Source organism: Homo sapiens, chromosome 19 (assembly GCF_000001405.40).
Source record: "Homo sapiens chromosome 19, GRCh38.p14 Primary Assembly".
In the NCBI taxonomy this organism is placed as follows: domain Eukaryota; kingdom Metazoa; phylum Chordata; class Mammalia; order Primates; family Hominidae; genus Homo; species Homo sapiens.
Window position 1 is genome coordinate 23,474,494 of NC_000019.10, and position 15,059 is coordinate 23,489,552.

At 38.7% G+C, this 15,059-nt stretch overlaps 1 long non-coding RNA gene across 1 annotated transcript; it reads right to left on the bottom strand.

Moving 5' to 3' along the window:
* Positions 1–535: 535 nt before the first annotated feature.
* LOC105372334 (uncharacterized) lies at positions 536–14,975 on the bottom strand. Its single transcript, XR_936479.2, has 3 exons — positions 14,947–14,975; positions 7,818–7,961; positions 536–5,352 (listed from the first exon to the last, which is right to left on the bottom strand). It is a non-coding gene; the product is annotated as an uncharacterized LOC105372334 (long non-coding RNA).
* Positions 14,976–15,059: the final 84 nt, after the last annotated feature.

Sequence of the window (15,059 nt, forward strand, 5' to 3'; positions counted from 1 at the left end):
ATGTATACTGCTTATTTACCTCTGTGTATGTGTGTTGTTATTTTTAATAAAGACCTTTTTTTTTCAAAATAAATTTGATTGAATTTGAAGGTATAAGGGAATTTCAAATGAAACTTTAGCCTCTGGTGACGTTGCCATTGATGAATATGATGATAGACATCTTTTCAGTAGCCTTTCTACCTCATGGGATTGTTGTAAAGATAAATAAATGTTCCAGAAACTCAAAACCTACATATGGAATAAAGTGGTTTATTTTGAGATCAGGAAGTTTTGTGGGTATCCACTGTGGATTTCCTTTCCAGAATTTTGAATTTTTGAGTGATTTGCTTTGGGGAAGGGTGCTACTGGCCTTAAGTATACAGACACTAGAAATGCTGCTCAGCATATTACAATGCACAGGATAGCCACAAATGTCAGCAGAGCTGAAGTCAAGCAAGCCTGCTTGAGAGGTGTAGTAGTGGCCTTTATTGCATCCACAAGCACAGTGGGTGCATTCCCTGTATTGCATGTGCTATATTTAGAAATCTGAAATTCCATAAAGTAAGTAAGCTTTTATTTGCCTCTAAGATGCCATGGTTGGCAAGGTCAAAGTTTTACAAGAAGCTTGGGATTGAGGAAAACATTAAGTGGTATTCAGTGTATTTGAAAACTCCATAGTAAATAAGAGCTCTAGAACTCATCAGCTTCTTCAACAAATGAGATGCATTGGCTCTGTAAAGTTGTTTTGGTAGGTGGCTCCTACCTGAGTTATTTAGGAAATTCGCTCTGATGCTGTCATCTGCCAGTCTCCCTCATGTTTTCAGTTACGTGGAGTATATCTTTTAAAAAAATTCTTTGAACTAGCTCTTACTAGCTTGATAGTTAATGTTTTTGCATTCATAGTCTCCCTTATTTTAATTTCTCAAGTTTTTGCAAAATTCTTACATAACTATCTGCCCTTTTCATAGACTGGTGTTTCTGAGCCAGGTCTTCTGTCCACACATGTCGTCTTGAGAGAGTGGATGTTAGCCAGCTGCCCTGGCTGAGATGGATGGGGACAATACAGGGATGCAATAAAGGAGACAGTGATAATTTATATGATCTGGGACCCCAGGCCTCACACCAGAACTGTCTAGTATATGTTTAGCAAATAAGTGCCACTGATTTGACCTTTGTCCTGCCCTTCCACTTTCCACCCTACTACACAAGCAGGAAATATGCACGAGATAAGGCAGGAAGATGAGGAGACTGAATTCCAGAAAAGAAAGGGCTGCCTGCAGTAAGCAGACAGTTGCCTCCACAGTGGTCTGGGCTCCCACTTACCTTAGAGACATGTGCAACACTTGAGAATAGTTGTTTTAAAATTCTGAAATCAGTGGACAGACTGTAAGCATCCCATTGCAGTCAGTTGCCAGGTACCTGTTCTCTGCAGCAACCTTTCACCTCCCATACTTGGGAGTGAGTTCTGTTCCTGCAGAGTGCCCTGTGCATTCTGGTGCTTTTGTGCCCTCTCCTTTAACCTATAAACTGACAACTCTAACTCTACATTTTCACTTACAATTTTTCTGAAGCAGTAATCTTTTGTGATCCTGATCACACTACAAGTCCCTCACCCTGCAAGTACTTGTAAAAATGAAAGTAATGTCCATTCCTTCTGGAAGGTGATTGCCATGCACACAACCTACTAGGCCAGGAACATTACTGATGGCTGTCCTGATGCATGTCTCTCTCACCCCCATGTCCAATCAGTCACCAGGCTCTCCTCAAAACCATGCTTCAGTCACTGACTTTGGCTGTTTAATCACTTCTGACCTAAGGCCCTCATTGAGTCATAAGCACCTCTTAATTTTCTGCCACCAGTTTCTCTCTACTGCTGTTAATCTTCCAGCTTGCTGCCAGAGTCATCATCCTCAAAAACAAAAGCTGCTGTCATTGTTTGCCTGCCTAATAACATCTCTTGCCTCCCTGCTGTCTGCAAAAAGAAAAATCCAAACTCCTTCACTTGTTTTACGAAGACCCATATCTGCTTCCAAACCAAATTGCTAGTCTTGGCTCTTGTCTCTGTCTTCCACATCACTGACACACTGAATAATTCTTTACTGCCCCTGCTGTTGCATGGGTTGTTCTTTTTGTTGTGTCTCCATCCCCTTCCCCCAGCAAAGAATATTTACTCTTTACTCTTCGTTGAGACCCATCTCAAATAGTACCTTTTCTAGGGAGAATTAGGCCTTCTGTTCCTAATAACTTTTACCCTCGTCTATCAAGTCTGTCTGCTGTAATTTATCTGTTAACATGTTTCTCCTACCTCAAGGATATTTTTTCCATCTTCTGTACCTAGCACAATTGCATGGCTGATGCTCACTGACTACTGCATGTTGATTTACTTATTTTATTTTACTTGTTTGAGAGATGGAGTCTTGCTCTGTTGCCCAGGCTGGAGTGCAGTGGTGCAATGTAGGCTCACTACAGTCTCTGTCTCCCTGTTTCAAGCAATTCTCCTGCCTCAGCCTCCCCAGTAGCTCAGATTACAGGCACCCACCACCACGTCCAGCTAATTTTTATATTTTTAGTAGAGACAGGTTTCACCACATTGGTCAGGCTGGGAAATGAAGGGATGGGCCAAATTAAAGGAATAGGTTGGGCTAATTAACTGCAGCAGGAGCATGTCCTTAAGGCATAGATCACTCATGCTATTGTTTGTGGCTTAAGAATGCCTTTAAGTGGTTTTCTGCCCTGGGCGGGCCAGGTGCTCCTTGCCCTCATTCTGCTAAACACACAACCTTCCAGTGTGGGTGTTATGGCCATCATGAACATGTCACAGTGCTGCAGAGATTTTGTTTATGGCCAATTTCAGGGCCAGTTTATGGACAGATTTTGGGGGGCTTGTTCCCAAAAACTGTAAATGAAGTAATTAAAATGGCCAGCCAGGAGTGGCGGCTCATCTCTGTAATCCCAGCACTTTGGGAGGCTGAGGCAGGTGAATCACCTGAGGTCAGGACTTTGAGACTAGCCTGGGCAACATGCCACAACTGTATCTCTATAAAAAATTTTAAAAAATAGCTAGATGTAATGGTGCGCACCTATGGTCCTAGCTACTCGGGAGGCTGAGATAAAAAGATGGTTTGATCCTGGAAGGTGGAGGTTGCAGTGAGCCAAGATTGTTCCACTGCCCTCCAGCCTGGGTGACAGATTAAAACCCATTTCAAAAAGAAAATTAAGATAAAAATTAAAAATGTGTGGGAAAAAAGATGGAAAGACAAACACAATATAATAAAACCTGTGAGATAAAGCAAATATAATACTAAGAGGGCAGTTTACAGCCTAAATGACTGCATCAAAAAAGTAGAAAGCTTACATATTGAGCACCTGACATCACACACTCTTCAAGGAACTAGAAAATTAATAATAAACAAAATTCCAAGTTAGAAGAAAAAAATAACAAAAATCAGAACAGAACCAAATGAAATAGAGATGAAAAACAATAAAAATGATCAACAGAATAGAGTTGGTTTTCCAAAAAGACAAAATGGGTAAATTGCTAGGTAGATTAACCACAAACAGAATGAAAATCTAAATAAACAAAATCAGTTATGAAAGAAGACATTACAATGGATACAACAGTAATACAAAAGTTCACTAGAAATGATTATAAACATCTAGACACTAATAAACCTGAAAACCTAAAAAGAATGAATAAATTCATGAAAACATACAACCTCCCAAGATAGAGCCAGGAAGAAATAGAGTACCTGAACAAACCAGTAATGAGTAGCATGATTGAGTCAGTAATAAAAAGTATCTCGACAAAGAAAAGCTCAGGACTGGATAAACGCACAGCCAAATTCTACCAAATATACAAAGAATAATAATCCTCCTTAAACTCTTCCCAAAAATTGAAGATAATTAAATTCTCCCTAAGTCACTCTGAGGTCAGTATCACCCTGATACCAAAACTAGCCAAGGACACAACAAAGAAAACTATTATTATATTATTATTATAAAAAATAGACAAATGGGACACAAAAGAGTTTTTGCACAGTAAAAAAAAAAAAAAAAATCAACAGGATAAATAGGCAACCTACAGAATAAAAGAATATATTTGCAAACTATGGGCCAACATGAAACCAATATTCAGAATTTACAAATAACTCAAACAATTCAAAAATATCATAATAATAAGAAATCCCATTGAAAAATGAGCAAATACTACTAAGCATTTTTCAATAAAGACATACAAATAACCAACACGCATATAAAAAACATGCTCAATCTCAACTAAAAATAAAACTACGATTTGATTCAGAAACCTCATCATTGGGTATCTACTCAAAGAAAATTAGTTTATTACATGAAAATGATACCTAATATCACCTACAAATAGGCAACTGCAAATGAAAACAGTGATGAGGTATGACTTCAAATCTGTTAAAATTACTAATATCAAAAAGAAAAAATAGAGGCTGGGCACGGTGGCTCACGCCTGTCATCCCAGCACTTTGGGATGCCAAGGCGGGAGGATCACTTACGTTCGGAAATTCAAGACCAGCCTGACCAACATTGGGAAACACCATCTTTACTAAAAATACAAAATTAGCTGGTCATGGTGGCACATGCCTGTAATCCCAGCTACTCCAGAGGTTGAAGTGGGAGAATCTCTTGAACCCAGAGGAGAATCACTTGAACCCAGGAGGGGAAGATGGTGGTGAGCTGAGATCATGCCATTGTACTCCAGCCTGGGCAACAAGAGCAAAACTCTGCCTCAAACAAACAAACAAACAAACAAACAAAAACAAAAAGGAAAGAAAGAAAAGAAAAAATACAGAAATAGCAAGTAACATCTGTCATTGATGTTCCTGAGATTTCTGAAACAAATCTTAATGTCACCACTGCTCTCACACACTTCAGATATGATGGAAAAAGAAAACTTCAGAAATGATCTAACATGCACTTCCTCAAAATACTCAGAGATATTCTTATATCCCCCCTTGAAGCAATGGAAGAGGAGGCATATCATGCAGCACCTTATAAGCCATAAAGAGGACTTTAGCTCTCACGGTACCTTCAAAGGAAAATCACTAAATAGCAAGTAACGTCCATAGAGAATTTAATGGTATGGGACAAATGATGCTCCTATACAAAAGCTACAGAATAAAAAATGGCTTTTTAGGAAACATTTCCACTGAAGCAGAGCATCCCATACCACATTTTAAGGTCTGCAATTCTTTTTGACCTTTGTACCTCTCGTCTGTGTTATCTGCTTCATTCATGCTTACCTGCCTGAGTATTTGACCACTGTCTCATGTCTCTTCACATTCCAGGGGTCTTTTATTTGCTCAAGGCAGGAGATGCGATCAGGTTTAGAGACAGCAAGGCCTGTTTTGTTAGAAAAAAGTAACATAACTTGCTGAGATTCTACAGTTACCAACCTTGTACCATGTTCAGTAGAGAGGAGAAAATATGAAAGATTCTAGAAATTTAATTCCAAAATACTGTTTTCTGACAGAAACTTTTGAATATTTAGAACATATTTTACATTTCTGGGTCCTTAGCTCTACTATTCAATATTATTGAATTTAAAATTGGTGCTGGATATTGAATTTTAATATTTGGGCAAGAATATTTAATGCCACTGAATTTCTAGAATGACCATTAATCTAGAGTGAAGAATACAGATTAGCTCAAGAAAGGGGAAGTTTCCTGTTAAAACATCTTGAAGATTTTCTTTTCTGTTCCAGTAAACCTTCAAGTTTTCCTTAAAAGTGTTGATCTAAAAATAATTTGTGCAGAGGAAAAACTGCCAAAATCATTCTACAAAGGGAGAAAATAGAAGCCTTAGGGTGTATTAGAAAACCTGGGGAAAATGTATTGACACCGAGAGACCAGTTTTCGGCAGTTCTCTAACACTGCATCTCTGAACAAATTTCACTGAGCAGTATTCAGACATTCCACACCTCCTGAGAGAATTCTATGGCCACAGCCTTGAAAGTTAACATTTCCTAAAATAAACCCAAAGACCCACACATACTTAGCAAGTGGTCATAGGCAGAATTATTAATTTTACTCTAAGTGTTTGAGAGTTAAGAGAACTGGCTCTGTTTCACATAAGAGACTGGCATTATCCAATAAAATATTGTTCAATAGAGAAAGATTCTCTAATGTATTCCTTCATTCTGAGGAAAGAGGATGAAACAAGATCCACAAAACCAGTGTATGTATTATAGTTTTCTGAATGACACAGCATAATATTTATGGCAAAAACACAAGCATTTACAGTTTTGAGTGCCATATATACATTATACAGAGTAAGGTGTGTACAGTTCTCATATGGAGAAGTCACAGTAAGTTAGAAGTTACCTCTCGAATTTTAATGCATACATTAATAAACTGGAGATTTTGTTAAAATACGTATTCTAATTCAAGAGATCTGGGATGAGACCTGAGTTACTGTATTGCTAACAAACTCACCAATGATGTCAATGATTCTAGCTTAAGAAAAATACTCTGTAAAACATCTAGTAAGTGATAGAACCTGGGTTTTTTCCCCATGTATATGACCAGTAAACAAAGATGACAGCCTTCATTTTCCAAAGCAATGTATAAACAAAGAGAAACTATTAAGAAAAAGAGTGTAAGAAAAATGGATGTTCTGTGGTCAAAAATAGGCCATGGTAAACGTCTGGTTCAGCATGACTCAGTTAGTTTAGAGTGCAGGTGCACCATTCTACTTATTATGTAACCTGGTTGTATAAGCTCATACTTGGCTCTGATCCACTATTGAGTGAAAAGAGTACACAGACAGGTGGACAGGAGGGAGAGGGAGAGTAAAGCTGCTCACCCTGTACACAGGGCTCGTGCTCAGGCTTGTGCCTAGAGAGAAAAAAAAGCCATCTCAAAAATTCCCATAGTTCCTTGATTGTTTTTCCAGCAACCCACCACTCACCCACCCACTCCTGTTAGACCTCAGATTAGGCTGGAACCTGACACTTGGCATGATAGGGGAGCTTTCAGAGTAAATGTGATTGTTTATGCACATTAGTCACCTCTCCAAAATACCTATTAATAATACAGTTTTTAAAAAGAAACATTATAGTGAAGAAATTCTTCAGAAAACACGTTAACCAAGTTAATAAAATTAATGGGACAGATTGGTATCAGGTGCTGATACATATAGGAGGATGCAACATGACTCTGTGAGACTACTGGCCAAAAAACATAAATTATAATCTGAATCTAATCATGAAAAATGTGTTTTATGTAAAGTTCAAGCCACATATGTTGCCCATGTTTTGTAATTTCTAGTAGTGTATCTAAAAACTCTTTTAGCATTCTAGAAGGCAAATTTCTTTGAATTCATTCCTTTAAATATCTTTCTAAATTATTCCAGGCTATTAATTTCATCCTTTTAAAGTGTGCATTTAAAAATTATGTTCTTCATAGAGCTGATGGAGCCCTCCGATGGAACCCAAAAGGTGCGGTTTTCTCCCTCACTGATATCTGAGGACCCAGCACCATCCCCAATAAGAATGTTTTATATCCCCACCTGCCCAGGCTGATCTGTCAACAAAGGGAATACTCTCAATATTTCAGGGTATAAATTCAAGGTATTAGTTGTGATATGTAAGAAGCCTGGATGGAGAGAATAAAGATAAGGTTCTGATATATAGAAGTGAATTATTTTAATGAGGTCCTTTCACTGTCACGAGAAGACAAGAGAAATGTAGTTCAAATAATCTTGTTAGGCAAAAGCATCAGAAGTAGAAATGTAAATTATTGCAATTCTAAATACATGACATTCTAGAAGAAAATGTGGACAGAATTTTGACCTGGGACACACTTACCTGACAATCAACCATTTCTTCCTCTCTTCTCTGATTCCTTCTCAGGAGAGATTATCTGAACAAATCACCATTTCATCTTGAGACTGTGTCTTTAAAGGCATCAGGACAGACTCTCTGAAGGAAGCAGACTGCTCCTGCAGGACCCTGGAGACACCCCAAATACTGTGAGTGCCACAACTGCAGAAGTGGGAAAGGGAGATCCTCCTCTCCTAAACACACAACCCCACTGGAGAAGCTGAAAGTCTGTTTGTGGGAGAAGTTTCTAACTACCTGGAGCTGCGTCAAGTTAGAGAGCCAAGCTGAGTGAAATACAGGGGTGTAGGAGGCAACAAAGAGGCCCTGGGAGCTCGCTGAATCCCCAAGGAGCCCATTCCTGCCTAGCACCACAGGGATCCATCAAGGGGAGGACAGAGGAGCAGGGGGTAAAACTTCCAAGGGGAGAAGGACTTCCCTAGCTGAACTTTGTAACAATTTGAATGGGGCAAGAAGACTTATGGCCAGAACTTGGGGGAAGGCATGAATCCGGCTTGAAGACTTCACAGGCATGGAAGAACTAAAGCCCTTTTTTTTCCCGCAGCTGGGAGACAGAAAGCCTGGGGAAATTTTCAAGCCCAACTCGCCCTCCACCTGGAAACAGACTCAGGTCTGTTATGAAGGGCACAGTGAGAGTGAGACCAGCCCTTTCGTTTGCATGGGAGCTGAGTAAGGCCTGTGACTGCCAGCTTTCCCCCACTTCCCTGACACCCTGCATGACTCAGCAAAGACAGCCATAATCCTCCTAGGTACACAACTCCAGTGACCTGGGAATCTCACCCCCATCTGCCACAGCAGCTTCAGCAACAACCACCCAAGGAGACTCTGAACTCAGGCATGCCTAGCACCCCCCGCACCCATTGGTCTTTCCCTAAACACCATGGTAGCAGAAGAAAAAGGACATATAATCTTGGGAGTCCTGGGTTCCCACCCACTGCTAGTCCCTTTCAACAGTACTACAGCTGATGCTTTCTGGAAAGCACTATCTCCTGGCAGGAGGTCTACCAGCACAAAAATAAAGCATTAAACCACCAAAGCTAAGGACACCCATGGAGTCCATTGCACCCTTAGCCACCTCCACCAGAACAGGCACTGGTATCCATGGCTGAGAGACTCATAAACACTTCACATCACAGGACTCTGTGCAGACAACCCCAAGTATCAGTCTGGAGCTGGGAAGACTCATTGGGTGGCTAGATCCAGAAGAGAGACAACCAATCACTGTAGTTCAGCTCACAGGAAACCACATCCACAGGAAAAGGGGGAGAGTACTACATCAAGGGAACACCCTGAGGGATAAAAAAAAAAAATCTGAACAACAGTTTTCAGCTCTAGACCTTCCCTCTGAAAGGGACTACCCAAATGAGAAGGAACCAGAAAAGCAAACCAGGTTGTATGACAAAAGGAGGTTTGTCAACACCCCACAAAAAAAAAAAATCACACTAGCTCACTGGCAATGGATCCAAACCAAGAAGAAATCCCTGATTTATCTAAAAAAAGAATTCAGGAGGTTAGTTCTTAAGCTAATGATGGAGAGACAAGAGAAAGGTGAAGCCCAATGCAACAAAATAAAAAAAAAATCATATGAGAAGTGAAGGAAGAAATATTCAACAAAATATATAGCTTAAAGAAAAAAAAATCAAAAATTCAGGCAACTTTGCACAGACTTTTAGAAATACGAAATGCTCTGGAAAGTCTCAGCAGTAACAAGTAGAAGAAAGAAATTCAGAGTTCAAAGACAAGATATTTGAATTAACCAAATTCAACAAAGACAAATAAAAAAGAATAAGAAAATATGAACAAAGCCTCCAAGAAGTCTGGAATTATGTTAAATGACCAAACCTAAGAATAATTTGTGTTCCTGAGGAAGAAGACAATTCTAAAAGCTTGAAAAATATATTTGAGGGAATAATCAAGGAAAACTTCTCTGGCCTTGCTAGGGACCTAGACATGCAAATACAAGAAGCACAAAGAACACCTGGAAAATTCATTGCAAAGAGATCTTCGCCTAAGCACACTGTCATCAGCTTATCCAAAGTAAAGACAAAGGAAAGAATCTTAAGAGTTGTGAGACAGAAGCACCAGGTAACCTATAAAGGAAAACCTACCAGATTAACAGCAGACTACTTAGGAGAAACCATACAAACTAGAAGGGATTGGGGCCCCATCTTCAGCCTCCTCAAACAAAACAATTATGTGCCAAGAATTTTGCATCCAATGAAACTAAGCATCATATATGAAGGAAAGAAACAGTTGTATTTTTAGTAGAGAAGGGGGTATCTCCATGTTGATCAGGTTGGTCTCAAACTCCTGACCCCAGGTGATCCACCCGCCTTAGCCTCCCAAAGTGCTGGCATTATAGGAGTGAGTCACTGTGCCCAGCCCAGAAACTCTTTAAAGCATAAATCAAACAAGACTTATAAAATAAAAATACAAGTTAAAAAAAAATACCCGATGCAGTGGCTCACACCTGTAATTCCAGTAAGCACTTTGAGAGACTGAGGTGGGTGGATCACAAGGTCAGGAGTTCGAGACCACCCTATCTGATATGGTGACACCCTGTCTGTACTAAATATACAAAAATTAGCCCGGTGTAGTGGTGAGCACCTGTAGTACCAGCTACTCAGGAGGCTGAGGCAGGAGAATCACTTGAACCTGGAAGACGGATGTTGCAGTGAGCCAAGATCGAGCCACTGCACTCCACCATGGGTGACAGAGCAGACTCCATTCCAAAACAACAACAACAACAACAGCAACAACAAAACACCAAAGTATGCAGCCAACAAAGATCATGATGAATGCAATGGTACCTCATATTTCAATACTAACATTGAATGTAAATGACCTAAATGCTCCACTTAAAAGACACAGAACGGCAGAATGGATAAGAACTCACCAACTATCTGCCATCTTCAGGAGACTCACCTAACATAAAGACTCAAATAAAGTAAAGGGGTGTAAAAAGGCATTTCATGCAGATGGACACCAAATGTAAGCAGGGGTAGCTATGCTTATATCAGACAAAACAAACTTTAAAGCAACTGTGGTTAAAAGAGACAAAGAAGGACATTATATAACGGTAAATGGCCTGACCCAACAGGAAAACATCACAATCCTAAACATATATGCAATCCTAAATATACAAACATCACACTGGAGCTCCAAAATTTATAGAACAATTACTAATAGACAGAAGAAATGAGATAGACACCAACATCATAATAGTGGGGGACTTCAATACTCCACTGACAGCACTACACAGGTCATCAAGACAGAAAGTCAACAAAGAAACAATGAATTTAACTACACCTTGGAAAAAATGGACTAACAGATATACACAAAACATTTCATCCAACAACCATGGAACACACATTCTGCTCAATAGCGCATGGAACTTTCTCCAAGATAGATCATATGATAGGCCATAAGACAAGCCTCAATAAATTTAAGAAAATTGAAATTATTTCAAGCACTCTCTCAGACTACAGTGGAATAAAACTGGAAATCAACACACAAAGAAACTTTCAAAACCATGCAAAAACATGGAAATTCAGTAACCTGCTCCTGAATGAGCACTGGGGCAAAAACAAAATCAATATGGAAATTAAAAACTTTTCTAACTGAGTGACAATAATGACACAGCCTTTCAAAACCTCTGGGATACAGGAAAGGTGGTGCTAAGAGGAAAGTTCATAGCCCTAAGTGCCTACATCAGAAAGTCTGAAAGAGCAGAAACAGACAATCTAAGGTCATACCTCAAGAAACTAGAGAAAAGAGAAACAAGAACAAACCAAACCCAAACCCAGCAGAAAAAAAGGAAATAACCAAGATCAGAAAAGAACTAAATGAAATTGAAACAAAAAAAAATACAAAAGGTAAATGAATGAGACAAAAAGCTTCTCCTTAGGAAAAATACATAAAATTGATAGACCATTAGCAAGACTAAGAAAGAAAAAAAGAGAAAATCCAAATAACCTCACTGAGAAATGAAACAGGAGATATTATAACTGACACCACTGAAACACAAAAAAATCATTGAAGGCTAGTATAAACACCTTTACAAAAGAACTAGAAAACCTAGAAGAGATACTTAAATTCCTGGAAAAATACAACTCTCCTAGCTTAAATCAGGAGGAATTACATACCCTGAACAGACCAATAACAAGCAGGGAGATTAAAATGGTAATTTAAAAATCACCAACAAAAAAAAGTCCAGGACCAGAGAGGTTCGCAACAGAATTGTACCAGATATTCAAAGAATCAGTACTAATACAGAGAAAGAAGGAAATCTCTCTAATTCATCCTATGAAGCCAGCATCACCCTAATACCCAAACCAGGAAAAGACACAACCTAAAAAGAAAACTACAGACCAATATCATTGATAAACATTGATGCTAAAATCCTTAACAAAAAATTAGCTAATTAAATCCAACAACATGTCAAAAAGATAATTCACTGTGATCAAGTGGATTGCATACCAGGATGCAGGGATGGTTTAACACACACAGGTAAAACAATGTGATACACCACATAAATAGAATTTAAAACTAAAATCACAAGATCATCTCAATAGATTCAGAAAAAGCATTTGACAAAATCCAGCATCTTTTATGATTAAAACTCTCAGCAAAGTTGGCACACAAGGGACACAGCTTGATATAATAAAAGCTATCTATGACAAACCCACAGCCAACATAATACTGAATGGGGAAAAGTTGAAAGCATTCCCTCTGAGAACGGGAACAAGACAAGGATGCCCACTCTCACTACTCCTCTTCAACACAATCCTGGAAGTCCTAGCCAAAGCAATAAGACAGAAAATAAAGGGCATCCAAATCAGTAAACAAAAGGTCAAACTGCCTCTGTTTGCTGATGATATAATCATTTACCTTGAAAACCCTAAGGACTCCTGCAGAAAGCTCCTAGAACTGATAAAATAATTCAGCAAAGTTTCTGGATACAAGATTAACCTACACAAATAAGTAGCCCTTTTGTTCACCAACAGCAACCAAACGGAGAATTAAATCAAGAACTCAACCCCTTTTACAATAACTCAACAAAAATAAAATACTTAGGAACACACCTAATGAAGGACTCAAAAGACCTCTACAAGGAAAACTACAAAGCACTGTTGAAAGAAATAATAGATGACACAAATGGAAACACATCCCATGCTCATGGATGAGTAGAATCAATATTGTGAAAATGACCATACTGCCAAAAGCAATCTACAAATTCAACACAATCCCCATCAAAATACCACCATCATTCTGAAGATGGTGAGTTAGAAAAACAGAGTTGGAAAAAACAATTCTAACATTCATATGGAGCCCACATAGACAAAGGAAGGCTAAGCAAAAAAAAAAAAAAAAAAAAAAAAATGAAGGCACCACACTACCTGATTTCAAACTATACTGTAAGGCCATAGTCACCAAAACAGCATAGTACTGGTATAAAAACAGGCACATAGACCAATGGAACAGAGAACCCAGAAATAAACCCAAATAGTTGCAGCCAACTGATCTTCAACAAAGCAAACAAAAACATAAAGTGGGGAAAGAACACCCTTTTCAACAAATGGTGCTGGAATAATTGGCTAGCCACATGTAGGAGAATAAAACTGGATCCTCATCTCTCACCTTATACAAAAATCAACTCAAGATGACTTAAGAACTTAAACCTAAGACCTGAAACTGTATAAATTTTGGAAGATAACATTGGAAAAACCCTTCTAGGCATTGGCTAGGCAAAAATTTCATGACAAAAATCCAAAAGCAAATGCAGTAAAAACAAAGATAAATAGCTAAGACCTAATTAAATTAAAGAGCTTTTCACGGCAAAAGGAACAGTCAGCAGAGCAAACAGACAACTCACAGTGTGGGAGAAAATCTTAACAATCTATACATCTGACAAAGGACTAATATCCAGAATCTACAATGAACTCAAACAACTCAGTAAAAAAAAAATTCCCATAAAAAAGTGGGCTCTTGATTAGACAACTCTCAAAAGAAGATATACAAATGGCCAACAAACATAGATTTAAAAAAGCTCAACATCACTAATGATCAGGGAAATGCAAATCAAAACCACAATGTAATACCATCTTATTCCTGCAAGAATGGCCATAATCAAAAGATCAATAAACTGTAGATGTTGGCATGGATGAAGCAATCAGGAAACACTTCTACACTGCTGGTGGGAATGTAAACTAGTACAGCCACTATAGAAAAGAGTGTAGAGATTCCTTAAAGAACTAAAAGTAGAACTACCATTTAATCCCACCACTGGGTATCTACCCACAGGAAAAGAAGTCATTATTTGAAACATAGAACAATGAAACAGAGAACCCAAAAATAAACCCAAATACTGATTATAGAAAAACATACTTAAACATTCATGTTTCTAGGAGCACAATTCACAATTTCAAAATCGTGGAACCAAACAAAATGCCCATCAATCAACGAGTAGATAAAGAAGGTGTGGTGTGTATATGTGTGTGTATATATGTGTGTATATATATATATATGTTGGGATACTACTCAACCACAAAAAGGAATGAATTAACAGCATTTGCAATGACCTGGATGAGATTAGAGACTATTATTCTAAGTGAAGTAACTGAGGAATGGAAAACCGAACGCTGTGTGTCCTCGCTGATATGTGGGAGGTAAGCTATGAGGACACAAAGGCATAAGAATGATACAATAGACTTTGGGGACTTGGGGGGAAGAGTGGGAAAAAGGAGGGATAGAAGACAACATATATGGTGCAGTGTATACTGGTCAGCTGATGGGTCTATCAGGATCTCACAAATCACTAAAGAACTTACTCATCCAACCAAGTATCACCTGTACCCCATTAAATTATGGAACAATGAGATTTTAAAAAAAATTATTCTTATAATTACAGACTAGCTCACATAATGAATACTTCATAAACTATTACACAGGCTGGGCACAGTGGCTCATGCCTGTAATCCCAGCACTTTGGGAGGCCAAGGTGGGTGAATCACCTGAGGTCAGTAGTTTGAGACCAGCTTGACCAACCCTGTCTCTACTAAAAATATGAAACTTAGTTGGGCATGGTGGCAGGCACCTGTAATCCCAGGTACTTGGGAGGCTGAGGTAGAAGAATTGCTTGAAAATGTCATGCCAAGGTTGCAGTGAGCCAAGATAGCACCATTGCACTCCCGCCTGGGCTATACAGCA